General features: G+C 43.0%; 1 protein-coding gene across 7 annotated transcripts in view, besides 1 other annotated feature; it reads left to right on the top strand.

Annotated features, from left to right (window-relative positions):
- Window positions 1-17,030, top strand: part of ZCCHC8 (zinc finger CCHC-type containing 8) — a 29,333-nt gene extending 12,303 nt beyond the window's left edge. For 3 of the 7 annotated variants that reach the window (NM_017612.5, NM_001350936.2, XM_047429117.1), the window contains 9 exons: window positions 5,067-5,170; window positions 5,286-5,351; window positions 5,935-5,995; window positions 6,543-6,685; window positions 6,966-7,108; window positions 8,319-8,440; window positions 10,338-10,424; window positions 10,672-10,789; window positions 14,355-17,030. In NM_017612.5, coding sequence (NP_060082.2) covers window positions 5,067-5,170; window positions 5,286-5,351; window positions 5,935-5,995; window positions 6,543-6,685; window positions 6,966-7,108; window positions 8,319-8,440; window positions 10,338-10,424; window positions 10,672-10,789; window positions 14,355-15,133 — 1,623 coding nt within the window. In that variant the 3' untranslated portion in view covers window positions 15,134-17,030. Of the gene's footprint in view, window positions 1-5,066; window positions 5,171-5,285; window positions 5,352-5,934; window positions 5,996-6,542; window positions 6,686-6,965; window positions 7,109-8,318; window positions 8,441-9,833; window positions 9,967-10,337; window positions 10,425-10,671; window positions 10,790-14,354 lie in introns of those variants that run through there. The other 4 variants (NM_001350938.2, NM_001350937.2, XM_047429118.1 and 1 more) reach the window with 3 other exon arrangements.
- Window positions 14,529-14,578: an enhancer, noted in NCBI's record as "active region_7226". NCBI's record gives its function as "activates an Ori minimal core promoter by ATAC-STARR-seq in GM12878 lymphoblastoid cells {active_cell/tissue: GM12878}" and the evidence as "EXISTENCE:reporter gene assay evidence [ECO:0000049][PMID:35858748]".

Raw genomic sequence — 19,856 nt, 5'->3', positions numbered from 1 at the left:
GAGTGTTGGGATTACAGATGTGAGCCACTGTGCCCAGCGCAGCATATAATATTTTAAAAGGTAATGTAATAGTGGATTCTATAATATTGAAGGAAAACTGGTTTTCATGTTTATGTAGTATTATCCCATATTAGTATACCACAATTTTAGGCTGGGTGCAGTGGCTCACATCTGTAATCCCCAGTGTTCTGGGAGGCCAAGGTGGAAGGATTACCTGAGTCCAGGAGTTCCAGACTAGCCTGGGCAACATAGCCAGAACTCATCTCTATGAAAAATTCTTAAGAAATTAGCCAAGTGTGGCTGGGCGAAGTGGCTCACACCTGTAATCCCAGGACTTTGGGAGGCTGAGGCCGATGGATCACTTGAGGTCAGGAGTTCGAGACCAGCCTGGCTGTCATGGCGAAACCTTGTCTCTACTGAAAATACAAAAATTAGCCAAGTGTGGTGGTGCACACCTGTAGTCCCAGCTACTCGGGAGACTGAGTCACGGAAATTGCTTTGAACCCAAGAGACTGAGGCTGCAGTGAGCCGAGATTTGCCACTGCACTCCAGCCTGGACAACAGAGTGAGACTCTGTCTCAAAAAAAAAAAAAATTAGCCAAGTGTGGTGGCATGGACCTGTAGTCCCAGCTACTCAGGAGGCTGAAGTGGGAGGACTGCTTGAGGTCAAGGCTGCAGTGAGCCATGATTGTGCCACTGCACTCCAGTCTAGGTGACAGAGCAAGACCCTGTCTCAGAAAACAAACAAACAAACAAAATATATATATATATGTATGTATAGATACATATGTGTATATAAAAAAGAAAGAGATATGGGCCTACTGGGATGATGAAGAGCCCACAGACTTTATTGAAAGAAAAATTTACAAAGGATGTCGCATCTCTACAAATAGGATAAAGGTTGTTATTTGTAAAAGACTAAAACTTATTTTAAATCACCCTTTAAAGTGCCAAGTGGCAGAATTAAGACCAGTGATTGAATTGAGTACAAGAAGGTACATTTCAACTCAACCTTTAGAAAGTTCAAGTTTCTATAAGAGATGTGAAAAATGATATGACCTGGCATTCAAAAGAAAAAAGAAAAAAAACAAGTGAAATGGCACTTCTCATTCATAAAAGTGAATTCAGTATTACTGGAGTCAAATAGGGACTGAGATGTTATCCGGACACTTTAAAGAAAAATTTCTGAATTTGAATGAGGTAGTTTTTCATTTTCCTTCTGACCCTAAGGTTCTGGGATTGAAAGTGGCACTTGCCTAGAAACTGGGAATTTTGTTTATTAATTTAGACCTTTAAAAAATACGAAAATATTTAGTGAATGCTGTTTTGTCCCAGGGATCCTTCTAGGTTCCAGGGAGACAGCAGTGAAAAGAAGGGCAAAGTCCCAGCTCTCATCGAATTACATTGTAGTCAGGGAAGGTAGTGCCCTGAAGAAAAATAAAGCAGAGAAAGCAGAGTAGCTGTGGGGTAGGTGGTTTGTATAGTGACTGACAGCCTCTCTGAACCGAACCTTGGATGCATTGAGGAAGTAAGTGAAGGCTGTGCTTTGAATGGGGCACTCCAGGCAGTAGGAAGGTAAGTAGAAAGCCCCAAGGCAGGAGCACTACCTGGCATGTAAGTTCTAAGCTCATTAAAGGTATTACTCATGAAGGTGCTCTTAGGCTTCAGTTGTACAGATGAGGAAACAGGTGGAAAGCTAAGTAACTCGCCAGTGGGTTAGTGAGTGGCAAAGCCAGGGCAGGGCTTAAAACCAGGCCCGTGGCCTGGCACGGCGGCTCACATCTGTAATCCCAGCACTTTGGGAGGCCAAGGCAGGTGGATCACCTGAGGTCAGGAGTTGGAGACCAGCCTGGCCAACGTGGCAAAACCTCATCTCTACTAAAAATACAAAAATTAGCTGGGTATGGTGACTGAAGCCCATAATCCCAGCTACTCAGGGGGCTGAGGCAGGAGAATCGCTAGAACCCGGGAGACAGAGGTTGCAGTGAGCCGAGATCATGCCACTTCACTCCAGCCTGGGCAACAGAGCGAGACTCTCTCTCTCAAAAAAAAAGCCAGGCCCTTGGAGTCTGGAGCACGTGGTCTGAATCTGTAGGTTGTGCAACAGACTGTAATGAGGACTTTAGATTTTACTGTAAGATGAGAAGTGATAGAGGGTTTTAAGTAGAAATGTAACATGATATGAATTGACTTTTTTTTTTTTTTTTTTTTTTTTTTGAGACAGCCTCTCGCTCTGTCACCCAGGCTAGAGTGCCATGGCACAATCTCAGCTTACTGCAACCTCCCCCTCCCAGATTCAAGCAATTCTCCTGCCTCAGCCTCCTGAGTAGCTGGGATCACAGGTGTGCACCACCACACCTGGCTAATTTTTGTATTTTTAGTAGAGATGGGGTTTCACCATGTTGGTCAGGCTGGTCTCAAACTCCTGACTTTGTGATCCACCCACCGCGGCCTCCCAAAGTGCTAGGATTACAGGCATGAGCCACCACGCCTGGCCATGAATTGACTTTTTAAAAGAGCTGGGTTCTGTGTGGAAAATAGTCTGTAGCTGGTTATCTGTGGAAGCTGAAAACCAGTTAGGAAGTTATTGTATTCAACTCAGGTGAGAGAAACTGGTACTGAGACTGGAGTGAGAGTGGTGCTGCTGAGAAGTGCTTAGAACGTGGATGTACTGGGGAAGTAGAGCTGATCAAATGTGTTGATGAATTGGACGCAGAATATGAGAGCAAAAGAGTCATCGGAGTGACTCAGGTTTTTGGCCCGAGTGCCAGTAAGAATGTCGTCGTAAAAAATTAGCCAGGCGTGGTGGTGGGCGCCTGTAGTCCCAGCTACTCATGAGGCTGAGGCGGGAGAATGGCATGAACCTGGAAGGCAGAGCTTGCAGTGAGCCGAGATCGCGCCACTGCACTCCAGCCTGGGCGACAGAGCGAGACTCCATCTCAGAAAAAAAAAAAAAAGGATGTCGTCATATTTTCTCTGATGGGGAAGACTAGAGGAGGAGCAGGTTTGGAGGGGGCTAGAAATCCAGTGCAGTTTTAAGCAGGTGAGTTTGAGATGCCACTCACACGCCCCTTGAGAGCTGTCAAGTTGACACTTCCATATATAAAATTGGAGGTTAGGACTGATCAGAACTTGACCGTAAAGGAGAACATATATTCAGGGCAACTTCAATCTATGCTCCCAGTGAAAAAATAATAATTAAAAAGTGATAACTTAGGCCAGGCGCAGTGGCTCATGCCAGTAATCCCAGCACTTTGGGAGGCCAAGGCGGGCAGATCACCTGAGGTCGAGAGTTTGAGACCAGCCTGACCAACATGAAGAAACCCCGTCTCTACTAAAAATACAAAATTAGCCGGGTGTGGTGGTGCATGCCTGTAATCCCAGCTACTTGAGAGGCTGAGGCAGGAGAATCGCTTGAACCCAGGAGGTTCAACCGGAGGTTGCAGTGAGCTGAGATTGCGCCATGGCACTCCAGCCTGGGCAACAAGAGCGAAACTCCGTCTCAAAAAATAATAATAATAACTTGACCTTTAGAAGTCGTAAGCATACATATTATACTACATACCATGGGTCAGGATGAACCACCTGAGTAGTGAAAGTGGAGAGGAGGACTGAGACCTAGGGCACTCTAATACATGGAAGATAGAGGGATGAGAAGAGTCTAGCACAGAAGAGCGAGGCTCAGTCAGCAAGGAAAGAAGAGAACGGAGAAGCATGTCCTAGAAGACAAGGGAGGAAGATGTTTTTAGGAGGAAGGAAGAATTGTGTCAATTGTCACAGCTAGGTTAAGAAAGATGAAGAGTGAGAACTGTTCATTGAATTTGGCTGCATGGAGGTCATTGGGAAGCTCCATTGTTAGGAGCTCAGCCCAGTGATATGTATAGAAGCATTACTGGAAATGTTCAAGAGAGAGGGCAGTGTCATTAAAAAAATGGAGGCCAGGCACAGTGGCTCAACACCTGTAGTCCCAGCACTTTGGGAGGCTGAGGCGGGAGGATTGCTTGAGGCCAGGAGTTTAAGACCAGCCTGGACAACATAGCAAGACCCCATCTCAAAAAAAAAAATTAGCTGTGTGTAGTGACACAACTACTCAGGAGACTGAGGCAGGAGGATCATTTTAGCCCAGGACTTTGAAGTTACAGTGAGCCAAGATCATGCCACTGCATTCCAGCCTGGACAACAGAGCAAGACCCTGCCTCAAAAAAAAAAAAAAAATTAAAGAGTATATGTGAGGCCAGGTGCAGTGGTTCACGGCTGTAATCCTAACATTTTGGGAGGCTGAGTCGGGTGGATCGCTTAAGCTCAGGAGTTTGAGACCAGCCTGGGCAACATGGCAAGACTGCCTCTACTAAAAATACAAAAAAATAGCTGGGCAAAAAAATAGCTGACCGTGCTTGTGGTCCCAGCTTCTCAGGAGGCTGAGGTGGGAGGATCGTTTGAGCCTGGCAGGTGGAGGTTGCAGTAAGCCAAGATTGCACCACTGTACTCCAGCCTGGGCAACAGAGACCCTATCTCAAAACAAACAAAAAAGTGTATGTGTGTGTGTTCGGTGTATGTGTAAAGAGAGAGAGAGGCAGACAAAAATGTTAAACTATTAACAGTTGTTTAGGTGAAGGATACATTGGGTATTCATTGTACCACTTTTCCAACTTGTCTGTATGGAATTTTTTCAAAAAGAACTGGAGGGATAAGAAAAGAGTAAATGGGAAGAAAGGAAATGGAAACAATAACTAAAGGGTCTGCATGTCTTGCAAAGAGAAGCAATGAAATGGGGCATTGGAGGGAAATATGAGAGTCAAGGTTTTCATTTTTTGTTTGAATTCTGTAGAGAATGCAGCTGATAGTCATGATCCAATACAGAGGAAAAACTGATCTAGCAGAGAGAGGGAACTGACGATGTAGTTTCTACTTACACATCAAAGTCTGGCTCCTTAATAACAAGGAAGTTATTATTTCTAATAATTCCATCCAAAAATAAATTGTTAAAACAGTTAATCATAATCTTACATTATTTAATGTCTTTTTTTCTGCTTAAATAGCAATATTTTTTGACTTGTTTTCTGCAGGTTGTAGGAAGTGTCCTGTATTTTACTAATTTTTGCCTTGATAAATTGGGGCAACCGCTTCTAAATGAAAACCCTCAGCTTTCCGAAGGATGGGAAATACCCAAGTATCCTACATAGTGAATGAAGATCTTTTATGCATCTTGCCACTAAGTTCACCTTTAAAACAATTTCCAAATTTTGCAGACCATGATAACTATTCCTTAATAAAATTCACTAAAGGTACCATCAAGTCTTCAGCCACATTGTTTCTCTAGAAGGGCAAGAAATACAAGTAAAGGCAAAAAGGTTTGTGTGGGGAGTTGTTTTGTTTTACTTATTTACTTTTTTAACCAAAATCATAAACTTTTGGCTTGAAAAGTTCATGTTCTTTACTGCTGGTTTACTCTAAGGTTAATTACAGATTGAGCTAGAATTTTAATCCATACATATATGTTAAATGTTTAAATGAATCATCTGCTTCCTGGAATTCATTGGTTCTCACCTAATGTGCCTGGGTGGGTGGAAAGGTATAATTGTTGCTGTCAATTTGATTGCAGTCTTATAACCATCTGCCTTCTTTCCATGTTACCTAACGGAAATATGATCAATGTGTTCACCTTGATTCTTCGTTGTTAACCACTGAAAAAACTCAAAAGAGGTAACAGATCAGTCAGGAACAGAAGGGTTCTTGGTTAAAAGACTCTGCATAGTACTATTTAAATCACTAAATAAAGGAGATTAAAGTGTACTTCTTGTTGCAGATATTAGTGATCTGTGATCAACTTGCTTTCTTGTCTCTCTGATACACTTTGCTGTCATATAGAATTTTATTGATTTGCTTTTCTATTTTTATTGACATTATAAAAATCTTTGTCTTTTGACCAAATAGGCCAAAGCCTCACTGTTTCAATTGTGGTTCTGAAGAACACCAAATGAAAGATTGCCCAATGGTAAATTTTTCTCATGTTAAGAAAAGTCTTTGAACAAGAGCTTTCTAATGTTTTCAACACATTTATGTTATTGTATGACATGAAGGAACTTTCTTTGTTCCTTTAATTTGAAATCTTGTGTCCTTTAATTTGAAATCTTTTCAAATTTGTGTTCATATTTTAAGACATTAAATTTTTTCAGTAAATAATTTAAAACAGTGTCCTTTAATTTGAAATCTTTTCAAATTTGTGTTCATATTTTAAGACATTAAATTTTTTCAGTAAATAATTTAAAACAGTACTCTTTGTATTTGAGATGAATAAACATGAGAATTAAATTGTAGAGTTTATCCTAAAAACTTGATTTAATTTATGATAATAGGTAATAAATAGACTGCTCCTTTCCTTACGTATTTTTCTAAAATATTCACCCTCTTTTACACTTGTTCGTTATACATTAAAACTAAAATAATCTGTTTACTTGATCTAAAAAAAAGTATTTTTATTTAATTTCTGAAATATTTCTGAGTTGCATGAAACCATTCTTTTCAAATGTGTCATGATGTAGCCTCGGAATGCTGCTCGAATAAGTGAAAAGAGAAAAGAGTATATGGATGCCTGTGGAGAAGCAAACAATCAGAATTTCCAGCAGCGATACCACGCAGAAGAAGTAGAAGAAAGATTTGGAAGATTCAAGCCAGGAGTTATTAGGTACTAATGGCATTTTACCATAGAAGGTCATTTTTATTTCCCTAGCATTTGGAATGTTCTGTGTCTCTTTGGGCTAATTATCAGGATATAAGTGTACTCTGGCAAAGCCCTAGGTAATATACATTAATTCATTTAGAAACACTTCTTTAAATTTTAATTTATATTTGTTAGACGTCATGGTATGTAATATAAGCAAGAAATGTTTTAAAATACCAGAATACTATGTGTTTTCATGCAAATAAGAATTCAGTATTTTTCTTCCTCCTTTATTTTTACTTAGTGAGGAACTTCAAGATGCACTAGGTGTGACAGACAAGAGTCTTCCACCTTTTATCTATCGGATGCGCCAGCTAGGGTACCCACCAGGGTGGCTCAAAGAGGCTGAATTGGAGAATTCGGGGCTTGCACTCTATGATGGAAAAGGTATAGTATCTTAAGTTAGAGAAGTCACCTTAAGTGTTTCCTTTTTTTTTTTAATTAAAGAATCACAACAAAATGTGATAGGAATGGCCGGCTTCTTTAATGTGTGCTAACTAAAAAATATCATGATGATGTTTCCTTGGTAAATTTTACAAGGAAGGAATAAAATTTCAGTGAGTTTGTAGATTATCTGATGGTTTTCTGGGCTTGCTCAGGTACTGTCTAGGCCAGAGTATCACCTCTCCAGCCAGTCCTCATAAGCTCTTATCTTTGTCAGTAATAATAACAGACATAAATCCTAAATGCCAGGAGACCTGTAAAATGTAAAATACAGAAAACCTCTAATAGTCTAGAACTTCTCTCCTAGATACCTACCCTAGAAAGATATTCACACATATGAAAAGGAAATTGTATGTATACAAGAATCTTTTTGTATCATTGAATATGATAGTGAAAAATCTACGACAACATTAAGGCCCTAAAAAAGAATGGTTAAATAAATTGGTAGTTCTGAGCTGTGGACTCCCTGCAACATACATGAAGAGTGGAATAAATCTGTATGAGCTGACATGGCAAAATCTTTGTGCAGTATTGAGTTTTTAAAAAGCAGGTTTCAGCCGGGCACAGTGGCTCATGGCTGTAATCCCAGGATTTTTGGAGGCCGAGATGGGTGGATCAGTTGCGGTCAGGAGTTCAAGACCAGCCTAGCCAAGACGGTGAAACCCGGCCTCTACTAAAAATACAAAAATTAGCCAAGCGTGGTGGCAGGCGCCTGTAATCCCAGCTACTCGGGAGGCTGAGGCAGTGGGTGGATCTCTTGAGCTCAGGAGTTTGAGACCAGCCTGGGCACCATCGTGAAACCCCGTCTCTACTAAAAATACACAGCCTACCCTGGTGTGGTTGTGCGTTCATGTAGTACCAGCTATTTAGGAGGCTGAGGTGGGAGGATCACTTGAGCCTGAGAGGCAGAAGCTGTAGTGAGCCAAGATGGTGCCACTGCACTCCAGCCTGGTGACAAAGCAAGACCCTTTCTCAAAAAAAAAAAAAAAAAGTTCTGTCCTAATGATTTAGAAAAATTATAATGAAAATTGAAAGCCATTTCAAAACTAATTCTGTTGCCATGATTATAAGCACTTTCCAGGTGTACTTTTGGTCTGGGGAGGGATATATATTGACATTTAGCAATATTAACACTTTTTATGGTCTGTAATAGATGGCACTGATGGGGAAACAGAAGTTGGAGAAATACAACAGAATAAAAGTGTCACTTACGATCTCTCAAAATTGGTCAACTATCCTGGTTTTAATATATCTACTCCCAGAGGAATTCCAGACGTAAGTATATTGATTTTTTTAAATTATCATGTGATGTGATATTATTATGTTAAAGATTGGTCAAAATATTAACTTGTTGGCTAGGCATAGTGGCTCACACCTGTAATCCCAACACTTTGGGAGTCCGAGGCAAGATGATCACTTGAGTCCCAGAGTTCGAGACCAGCCTGGGCAACATAGCAAGACCTTGTCTCTATGAAAAAATTTAAAAACTAGCCAAGGGTGGTGGCACATGCCTGTAGTCCTGGCTACTAGGGAGGCTGGGGTGGGAGGATTGCAGAGGTTACAGTGAGGTGAGATCACACTAGACCCTGTCTCAAAAAATAATTAGTTAATTCATATACACCTACAAACTTATATAGCAGTTACTATTTAAAGGAATAAATTTGTTACTTGTTTACATTTTTAATTTCTTTTATAGAATCTTTCTAGAATCTTAATTGAAGTCTTATATTCATCAACAGCAGTTTTCTCTGATTTTGTGCCCTCAGAAAGGGAGCCAAAATAGATTGGTTAGAGTATCTAAATCTAAAAGTACTCTAACATTTTAAAAGTTTTTAACAATATGGATTTTTCTGAGACAGTATTATTAATTTTACAGAATTAACTTGGGAAATAAGTTTCTATCTATAATAAATCTAAATATATTATCACTCTTTTTCCTGATTATTCTTGCCTTTTTTCCCCTCAAAGTAAAATTTCTCATTTTTTATATGAATGGTTTTTCCATACTTAACTCTTTTCCAGCTTCCATCTTAGGTCTCAGGATTCAACAATGAACTATTGTACTGTTTTATTTAAAAAGCATATTCTTGGCCGGCGCAGTGGCCCGTGCCTGTAATCCCAGCACTTTGGGAAGCCAAGGCGGGTGGATCACCTGGAGCTCAGGAGTTTGAGACCAGCCTGGCCAACATGGCAAAATCCTATCTCTACTAAAAATATAAAAATTAGCTGAGCGTGGTGGCAGGCGCCTATAATCCCAGCTACTCAGGAGGCTGAAGCAGAAGAATCACTTGAACCAAGGAGGTGGAGGTTGCAGTGAGCCGAGATCGTGCCATTGCACTTTAGCCTGGGTGATGAAAGCAAAACTCCATCTCAAAAAATATAAAAATAAAAAGTGTATCCTTGGTGTTCTTAGGAACTGGACAGTAGGGAAACAGCCAAAGACTTGAAGTTAGAGTCTAGTGAGCAGATAGAAAGTTCTCAATCACGCAAGACTGTGTAATTCATTACGGGCGGAAGTGCATGATACAAACCATCAGTGCTTCTGGAAGCCAGTCCAGCTTCCAGTCTACTTCAGAGTCCCCTGGGAATACTCGTTAGAAATGTACATTCTTGAGTCCCACCCTTAGACTTAACTGATTCAAAACCTAGAACCTGTATGTTTCACAAGAGTTCCATGGGATTCTTACCGAGAACCACTGTTGAATGTGCGATTGGAGATGAGAGAGAAACAAGCTGTGTGGAATCTTTAAAGATGATGCTGTATTTGGAAAGAGAAAGAGCAGAAGATAGAAAACTCATGAGTAAGTGTGTTAGGAGAATTGGGCGATGAATGGCCCTGTTAGCAGTGCCAGTGCTTGATGGGAGAGAGACTGGAGCCTGGGAGGCCCCATAGCAGTCACTCCTGCCTACATCTTCTGCTTGCAGTATGTAGAACCTTTTTTGGCCAAGTGATTGTGTCAGGTAGTCTTTTAGTATTCAGTCTTAATTATTTTGCAGGCAAGTTTAGTTTTCCTTCAACACATTATTTTCCTTAATTTCCAATAAAGGAAAAGTAACATAAGAAGGAAAAATGTAATTTGAGATCTCCACTGTACCTCCTTTGAGCAAAATCTCAAAACATGACATTTTCCAAATACATGTGTTTTTTTTTTCCTTCTCTTTTCATCATTAGGAATGGAGGATCTTTGGTTCCATACCAATGCAGGCATGTCAGCAGAAGGATGTGTTTGCCAATTACCTTACTTCTAACTTCCAAGCGGTAAATAGATTTTAAGGGTGTGCTCTATAAAATGTTGTTGTGTCTGCGAGATTGTGTAATTTATTAGCGTCTTACAGCCTTTTCTTGCTTTGTTATCTTGACAAACCAAAAGGAAAACAGTGGCAAAATTCACCAATTACCTAGACTTAACTCCAGATTGTTTTTCTACATCATTTTAAGTGAAGGGATGGAGTTTAATTCATTATCTACCCCGCTTAACTTGTGTTTGGTCTGGTTGCTCTTTTAGCCAGGTGTGAAGTCTGGCAACAAGAGGTCTTCATCTCACTCTAGCCCAGGTAGTCCAAAGAAGCAGAAGAATGAAAGCAACTCAGCGGGATCTCCCGCCGACATGGAGCTCGATTCAGGTAGGTTTCATCCTATGGCTCTGATTTCTCTCTTTTTTTTTTTTTTTTTTGAGATGGAGTCTCACTCTTGTCACCCAGGCTGGAGTACAATGGCGTGATCTCGGCTCACCGCAACCTCTGCCTCCCGGGTTCAAGTATTCTCCCGCCTCAGCCTCCCGAGTAGTTGGGATTACAGGCATGCATCACCACGCCCAGCTAATTTTTGTACTTTTTTTTTTTTAGTAGAGACAGGGTTTCACCATCTTGACCAGGCTGGTCTCGAACTCCTGACCTTGTGATCCACCCACCTCAGCCTCCCAAAGTGCTGGGATTACAGGCGTGAGCCACCGTGCCCGGCCCCTGTCTTCATTTTCAAATTCACAGAGAGAATTTAAAGACCATGAATTAAGCCGGGCGCGGTGGCTCACGCCTGTAATCCCAGCACTTTGGGAGGCTGAGGCAGGCGGGTCACAAGGTAAGGAGATCAAGACAATCCTGGCAAACATGGTGAAACCCTGTCTCTATTAAAAATACAAAAAATTAGCTGGGCATGGTGGTGGGCGCCTGTAGTCCCAGCTACTCGGGAGGCTGAGGCAGGAGAATGGCATGAACCAGGGAGGTGGAGGTTGCAGTGAGCCGAGATCACGCCACTGCACTCCAGCCTTGGCGAAAGTGTGAGCCTCCATCTCAAAAAAAAAAAAGATCATGAATTAAATTCCCTTAAAGTTCAAAGGGATTAAAGCCCCACATCAAATTATTTTGCACAAGTGACTTCAAAGTTCAGAATCAAAGCCCTCAAATTATTTCCCCTAAGTTTTTCTTTGTTTTTTCGGTTGTTTTTCGAGACAGAGTTTCACTGTCTCCCAGGCTGGAGTGCAGTGGCGTGATCTTGGCTCACTGCAACCTCCGCCTCTCAGGTTCAAGCGATTCTCCTGCCTCAGCCTCCCAAGTAGCTGGGATTACAGGTGCCCGCCACCACGCCTGGCTAATTTTGTATTTTTAGTAGAGATGGAGTTTCTCCGTGTTAGCCAGGCTGGTCTTGAGCTCCTGACCTCAGGTGATCTGCCCGCCTCCACCTCCCAAAGTGCTGGGATTATAGGTGTGAGCCACCGTGCCTGGCCCATGGTTGTCATTTTTTGAAGTTTGGGGATTTGTGGTGGTGGCACCCCTGTCACCAGGGTCACACACTTCTGTGTAGGCATTTTCAGTTTTGTACTAGGGGCTCTTTCCTCTATTTCTGTTTTGTTTTGTTTTTTGTTTTTTTTTTTGAGACAGGATCTGGCTCGGTTGCCCAGGCTGGAGTGCAGTGGTGCGATCATGGCTCAGTGCAGCCTCAGACTCCTGGGATCAAGCAGTCCTCCCACCTCAGCCTCCCATGTAGCTGGGAGTATAGGCATATGCCACCAAACCCAGCTGATTTTTGTATATTTTGTAGACACCGAGGTCTTATTTTGTTGCCCAGGCTGATATTGAACTCCTGAGTTTAAGCAATCTGCCTGCCTCAGCCTCCCAATGTTACTGGCATGAGCCACCGTGCTGGGCCATGAGTTGACTTCTAAGTGAGAGTTTGTTATTCTCACAAATCTTATTGTCTATAGAATAAAGTTCAGACCCCCTACTAGACCCTGAGGCAGAAAGCTTAATAAGACAGTATTGCTGCCCTAGTTACCACTCTCTGTCACCTCGGGATTGCAGATGTGTAAACATCATTTTCATATAAATGTGGTGGCCCACAGTGATATATACAGAATGATAGTATTACATATTGCTGCCACAGAGCAGTTCCAGACTGTAATGGTGGCACAGAGGAAAAACAGCATCTGTGCTGAATGAAGTCATAGGGTAACTTTGAACTGCATCTTGAGGGATGAATGCAGGGATTTACCAAGGAAATGAGGAGGAGGGCATTTGAGACAGAGGGAAGTGCAGATGCAGGATAGTGAAACTTCACAGCACATCAGGCCAGCAGCAGGGTGACAGCTGGAGTTTGAGCCAGGCAATAGGAGGTGACATGATGGAAGTAAGGAAACTATATCCTAGAGGGCCATGGAGGAAGATTGGACTTCATCCTGTGGGGTCTGGGCAGGCACTGAATGGTTTCCAATGGAGATGGGAAAGGTTATAGGGCCAGACTTGTGATGAATCTGGCAGCGGTTTGGAGGACAGACACAAGGAAGATGAATCCAGAGGTCAGGGTGATTCTGATGTTCCTGGCAAATGTCATGGGCCTGAAGCAAGGTAGCGGCTGTGGCAGCCAGCAGGAGAGCATGCACCCCAGAGAGCCAAAGACCTGGGGATGGATGGAAGGAAAGAGAGTACTCTCAGAGGACAAGCAGATCCACTGGTGGTGCCATTTGTGAGAACAGCAGATGGGAAAACAGTCCTCATTTTAGGAAGAGATCATTTGTTTTGGACAGGTTGTATCTGTGGAACGTGTAGGTGATGATGGTCAGTGGGCAGTTAGATATGTGAACCTGCAGTTCAGGCGAGCAGTGTAGATTAGAGAAAACAATTGGGGGCCAGGCACAGTGGCTCAGGCCTGTAATCTCAGCACTTTGGGAGGCCGAGGTGGGCGGATCACTTGAGATCAGGAGTTCGAAACCAGCCTGGCCAACATGGAGAAACCCCATCTCTACTAAAAATACAAAACAGCCGGGCATGTTGGCGTGCGCTGTAATCCCAGCTACTTGGGAGGCAGAGGCAGAAGAACTGCTTGAACCCGGGAGGCAGAGGTTGCAGCCAGCTGAAATCATGCCACTGCACTCCAGCCTGGGCAACAGAGCAAGACTCCATCTCAAAAATAAAAAATTGGGAAATTGGGCAATTAGGCTAGGTGCAGTTGCTCATGCCTATAATCCCAGCATTTTGGGAGGCCAAGGCAGGTGGATCACCTGAGGTCAGGAGTTCGAGACCAGCCTGGCCAACATGGTGAAACCCTGTCTCTACTAAAAATACAAAAATTTGCCAGGCGTGGTGGTGCACAACTGTAATTGCAGCTACTCGGGAGGCTGAGGCAGGAGAATTGCTTGAACCCAGGAGACGGAGGATACAGTGAGCTAAGATTGTGCCACTGCACTCCAGCCTGGGTGGCAGAGTAAGACTGTCTCAAAAAAAAAAAAAAAAAAAAGAGCTAGGAAATAACCCAAGGTGTACTCCTGCCTTGCCCCTCACTTCCTCCCCATTAGCCTTCCACCCACTCAGTAACCAGCCTGCACCTCCAGTCAAATTTCCTACTGCATTCTGCCACAAATTTTTGGGTAGAGTGCACTGCCTTGAAATTCTGAAGTCTCCATGCAATTGCTCGCATTTCCTCAATCTAAAATGATGCACACAGCACAGAAACAGATCTCCCGAGGGATAGCCTTTAGCACCAGAAGATCCTGACAGCTATCCCTGCAGATCTTTTCAGGTGGACTGAGGATACCAGGTGGTGGTAATGGCACCTGAGAATCCAGAATTTCCCTCATGTTAAGCCAGTTATTTTTGGCCATTGAATTACTGGATACACCTGAGTTCAAATAACAAATTTTAGTAAAACCAAATGCTATTATAAGTTCTAAAGTATCTCTTAACTTTCTTACTTCAGATATGGAGGTACCACATGGTTCTCAGAGCAGCGAAAGTTTTCAGTTTCAACCACCATTACCTCCTGACACTCCTCCACTCCCCCGGGGAACTCCTCCACCCGTCTTCACCCCTCCACTCCCAAAGGGCACCCCGCCGCTGACTCCCAGTGACTCACCCCAGACCAGAACAGCATCTGGAGCTGTGGATGAGGACGCACTGACTCTAGAAGAACTTGAAGAACAGCAGAGGCGGATCTGGGCAGCTCTTGAGCAGGCCGAGAGCGTAAACAGCGACTCCGACGTTCCTGTGGACACACCTTTAACTGGCAATTCCGTTGCCTCATCACCTTGTCCAAATGAGCTAGACCTCCCTGTCCCGGAGGGAAAAACATCTGAAAAGCAGACGCTGGATGAGCCTGAGGTACCAGAGATTTTTACAAAGAAATCAGAAGCTGGACATGCCTCCAGTCCAGACTCTGAGGTGACATCACTTTGTCAGAAGGAAAAAGCAGAGTTGGCTCCGGTAAACACTGAAGGTGCCCTTCTTGATAATGGCAGTGTCGTACCAAACTGTGACATCAGCAATGGGGGCAGCCAGAAGCTCTTTCCTGCAGACACCAGTCCTTCAACGGCCACTAAAATTCATAGCCCTATACCTGACATGAGCAAATTTGCAACTGGAATCACGCCATTTGAATTTGAGAATATGGCAGAATCTACTGGAATGTACCTCAGGATAAGAAGCTTGTTAAAGAACTCACCCCGAAACCAGCAGAAAAACAAAAAGGCCTCTGAATAATGGCTTGACTTAGCACTGAGAGCTATTTAATAACTTTGTTCCGTTAATTAGTACTAATTAAGTGGATAGATAGAATGGTTTTCCTGTTTGTCCCTCCCATGTTTAAAAATCTATCCAAGGTTCATGTTCCAAAGTCAAGCCTATTTTAAAGAAAGACTGAGCTCACTAGTTCAGTATATTTTATTCTCACTGACAAAACTTGGGGGGAGATGTGAATATGACCTGGTTTAGAGAGGGTTTGTTAAGGTTTATACTATTTTTGGATTGTGACTATCCGTCGAGAGTGATGGTTTTTATCTGTCTTTTGTACATTGTTTTCCCTTTCTACATTTTGCTAATTATCCTGTATATAAGTTTAATATATCACTTTTTAAAAGAAAAAATTCTACCATTTTAAATTCATGTTTCAACTCCTACAACCAAATGAGAAAAATCAGGGATGAGCAGCTTTATCCCATTTGGGGTATTTTTGTAAGTGATTTACATGTGTCAATTTTAGTAATACTTTTACTTTTTTGTAACTTCATCCTTCATATATGCTTGCTATACAGGTATGTTCATCTTTGTGTACAGAGGTTTAATAAATTAGTTTTCATATACATAATCTAAGACTTTGAATACAAAAAAGTGATTCACAGGTAAAATCAGTGTATATAACCTTTTTTTTTTTTGAGACAAGGGTTTCACTCTTGTTGCCCAGGCTGGAGTGCAATGGCACAATCTCGGCTCACCGCAACCTCCGCCTCCCGAGTTTAAGCGATTCTCCTGCCTCAGCCTCCGGAGTAGCTGGGATTACAGGCATGTGCCACCACGCCCAGCTAACTTCGTATTTTTAGTAGAGATGGGGTTTCTCCACGTCGGGTCAGGCTGGTCTTGACCTCCTGACTTCAGGTGATCTGCCCGCCCAGCCTCCCAAAGTGCTGGGATTACAGGCGTAAGCCACCTCACCTGGCCGGTGCATATAACTTTTAAGTTTAAAAGTAAATTGTTGGCCAGGCGTGGTGGCTCATGCTTATAATCCTAGCACTTTGGGAGGCCAAGGAGGAAGGATCACCTGAGGTCAGGAGTTCGAGACCAGCCTGGCCAACATGGCAAAACCCCATCTCTACATAAATACAAAAATTAGCCAGGTGTGGTGGTACATGCCTGTAATCCCAGCTACTCGGGAGGCTGAGGCAGGAGAATCACTTGAACCTGGGAGTGGGAGGTTGCAGTGAGCCGAGGTCGCGCCATTGCACTCCAGCCTGGGCAACAAGAGCAAAACTCCATCTCAAAAAAAAAAAAAAAAAAAGGTAAATTGTAAAAATCAGTGGTAGCAAAACAAAAATAATGATAGGAATTGCAAGTTTGGGTGTTTTCAGTGGATTTCAGCCTTAAATATAGAAACAGCAGAATTTTTGAAAAGTAATTATTTTGAAAAATGAATGGCATGCAGCTAGCCTTTGTATAAAAATAATTTTCTAGATTTGAACCCTAATAGTTAAAAATTAAAAATTAAACATAAACATACTGCTTTTAATTGTCAGGTATATATATAAGATAGAGCTGAAACTGTGGTTTAGGTCTTTCTGTGGAATGCCATTACATCTTTATATTAGTCAAGTCCATGAAAATAAATGTTTAGATCGTCTTGAATTGTTAGTCTCAGGCAGTGTTATCCTGCTCTCAGGCCAACAGGGGGAGCAAAATAGAAACATTCCAGATATAGCTTTCATTTTTGAGAACTTGAGTAATCAGAATTTACTGTTCTGTAAAGAATAAAGGAAAGGAAAATTATAAAGAGAGAAATTTCTTTTTAAAGCCCTCACAGAATGTGCTAGAAATAGAATAAAATTTAAAATACTTTTGGCTTCTTTTCCTCAGCTTAAGTTCAAAATAAAAGCAATCCTTTACAGTTGTTTACATAGTGTTTTTAACCTGATCTCGCTCAGCATTTCTGTCAGGCAAATTATTATCACCACTTGGAAGTAAGGAAAGGGAGGCAGAGAGAGGTTAAAGGAACTTGTCGACATTCCAGAAGTGGTTCTTAAGGTGAGTGTTCAACTAAAGACTTGACTATTCCCTAAATCAGAGCAGTAGTTGTTTAAATGTCCCTTTAAGAAGTACTGCATTAGTAGAGTCACCTGTGAATACCAGAGGTCTCTTAATAGTTATCTCTTTGCCATTTACCAGACATCGTGTTAAGGTATTTTTGTGCATTACCCCATTTTCACCGTCACCACATTGGGTAGGCATTGTTAACCTCATTGTTGAGAGGAAATACACACAGCTAAATACACACATACTAAAACACACAGCTGATACACAACCTAGTAAATCTAAATCTAGATCTCTCTGACCCCCGTATCTGTGCTCTTAACTGCTGTACTGCCTCCTTGTCAAAAGCTCTACAAAAGCACTGATTCTTTTTTTTTTTTTTTTTTTTTTTTTGATACAGAGTCTTGCTCTGTTGCCGAGGCTGGAGTGCAGTGGCACAATCTTGGCTCACTGCAAGCTCCGCCTCCCGGGTTCAAGTGATTCTCCTGCCTCAGCCTCCCAAATAGCTGGGATTACAGTCATGTGCCACACACCCGGCTAATTTTGTATTTTTAGTAGAGACGGGGTTTCTTCATGTTGGTCAGGCTGGTCTCGAACTCCCGACCTCAGGTGATCTGCCCACCTCTTGCCTCCCACAGTGCTGGGATTATAAGTGTGAGCCACCGGGCGCCCAGCCAAAAGCACTGATTCTCAAAAAATGGGCTATTTCATTTGTTCAATTTTTGGGGGGTGTTGAGTGGGGGACAGGGTCTCGCTCTGTCACCCAGGCTGGAGTACAGTGGCATGATCACAGCTCACTACAGCCTCCACCTCCCAAGTTCAAGTGATTCTCCTGCCTCAGCCTCCAGAGTAGCTGGGATTACAGGTGTGAGCCACCACACTCAGCCTGTTCAGCCACTTACTGAGGACATACTTCTGATAAATGTTCTTCAGTGTGCTTTTCCGCATTAAAAAGGTGGATCACGAGGTCAGGAGATCGAGACCATCCTGGCCAACACAGTGAAACCCTGTCTCTACTAAAAAAAAAAAAAAATTTTAAATAGCTGGGCGTGGCGGTGGGCGCCTGTAGTCCCAGCTACTCGGGAGACTGAGGCAGGAGAATGGCGTGAACCCAGGAGGCAGAGCTTTCAGTGAGCCGAGATCGTGCCACTGCACTCCAGCCTGGGTGACAGAGCAAGACTCCATCTCAAAAAAAAAAGAAAAGAAAAGAAAAAATACTGTGGCCCAGCACGGTGGCTCATGCCTGTAATCCCAGCACTTTGGGAAGCCAAGGCAGGCATATTGCTTGAGGCCAGGGGTTTGGGACCAGCCTGGCCAACATGGTGAAACCCCCATCTCTACTAAAAACACAAAAATTAGCCAGGTATGGTGGTGCATACCTGTAGTCCCAGCCACTCAGGAGGCTGAGGCACAGAAATCACTTGAACCCGGGAGGCGGAGGCTGCAGAGAGCAGAGATCAGGCCACTGCACTCCAGCCTGGGCGACAGTGAGACTCTGTCTCGAGGGGGAAAAAAAGTGCTGGAATCTGCCTTTAAGGAGCTTATCCAGTACCAGGAGAAAATAGAGGGTTCCCTCTCAATTACAATACGATTCAGCTGGCAGCCATGAGAGGAAGGCAAGGTACTTGGGCCATTTTGTGGTGGTGAGAGAATCACCTGTGGAGGACTGACTTCAAATTCTCCGGACCACTGGATTTACTATTCATTTGGAGGGTATTTGAAGACTTCTGGAAATAGGTAACCATTGAACTAATCCTTAAAGCGTAGGTAGGAGGATTCATAGACAAAAATGCACATTGAAATGTATAGAAAGGCCGGATGTGGTGGCTCACGCCTGTAATCCCAGCACTTTGGAAGGCCGAGGCGGGTGGATCACGAGGTTAGGAGATCGAGACCATCCTGGCTAACTTGGTGAAACCTCGTCTCTACTAAAAATACAAAAAAAATTGGCTGGGCATGGTGGCGGGCGCCTGTAGTCCCAGCTACTTAGGAGGCTGAGGCAGGAGAACGGCATGAACCAGGGAGGCGGAGCTTGCAGTGAGCCGAGATTGTGCCACTGCACTCCAGCCTGGGTGACAGAGCAAGACTCCGTCTCAAAAAATAAATAAATAAATAAAACGGAAATGTATAGAAAACAGTGAAGAAGAAGCAGGAACGCTCAAGAAATGCAGAATGGTAAAAAAAAGTTTTAAATTAAGAGCGGCGTATTCATTGATGCTAAGAACTCTGGATTGCTTTGCTCTGTGGTCTGAATTTTATTAGGGAAAAGAGTCTGCTAAAGATCTTTCAGTGGAGAGCGCCCTCCTCCAAGTGGTTTTTTAAGAAGATAATTCCTAAAGCAGAAGTCTGAATGAACTGAACAGAGGAGACCATTTATGGGAGGGAGCGCATAAAGCAGGAAGTAATTGCCTCGAGCGGGTGCCCTATTTATTTATTTATTTATTATTTTTATTTATTTTATTTTATTTTTGAGACGGAGTCTCGCTCTGTCGCCCAGGCTGGAGTGCAGTGGCGCTATCTTGGCTCACTGCAAGCTCCGCCTCCCGGGTTCATGACATATTCCTGCCTCAGCCTCCCGACTAGCGGGGACTACAGGCGCCCGCCACCACGCCCGGCTATTTTTTTTGTATTTTTAGTAGAGACAGGGTTTCACTGTGTTAGCCAGGATGGTCTCGATCTTCTGACC

Source organism: Homo sapiens, chromosome 12 (genome assembly GCF_000001405.40).
Source record: "Homo sapiens chromosome 12, GRCh38.p14 Primary Assembly".
In the NCBI taxonomy this organism is placed as follows: Eukaryota; Metazoa; Chordata; class Mammalia; order Primates; family Hominidae; genus Homo; species Homo sapiens.
Note: the sequence above shows the minus strand (reverse complement) of the source record. Positions and strands in the feature narration are given on the sequence as shown.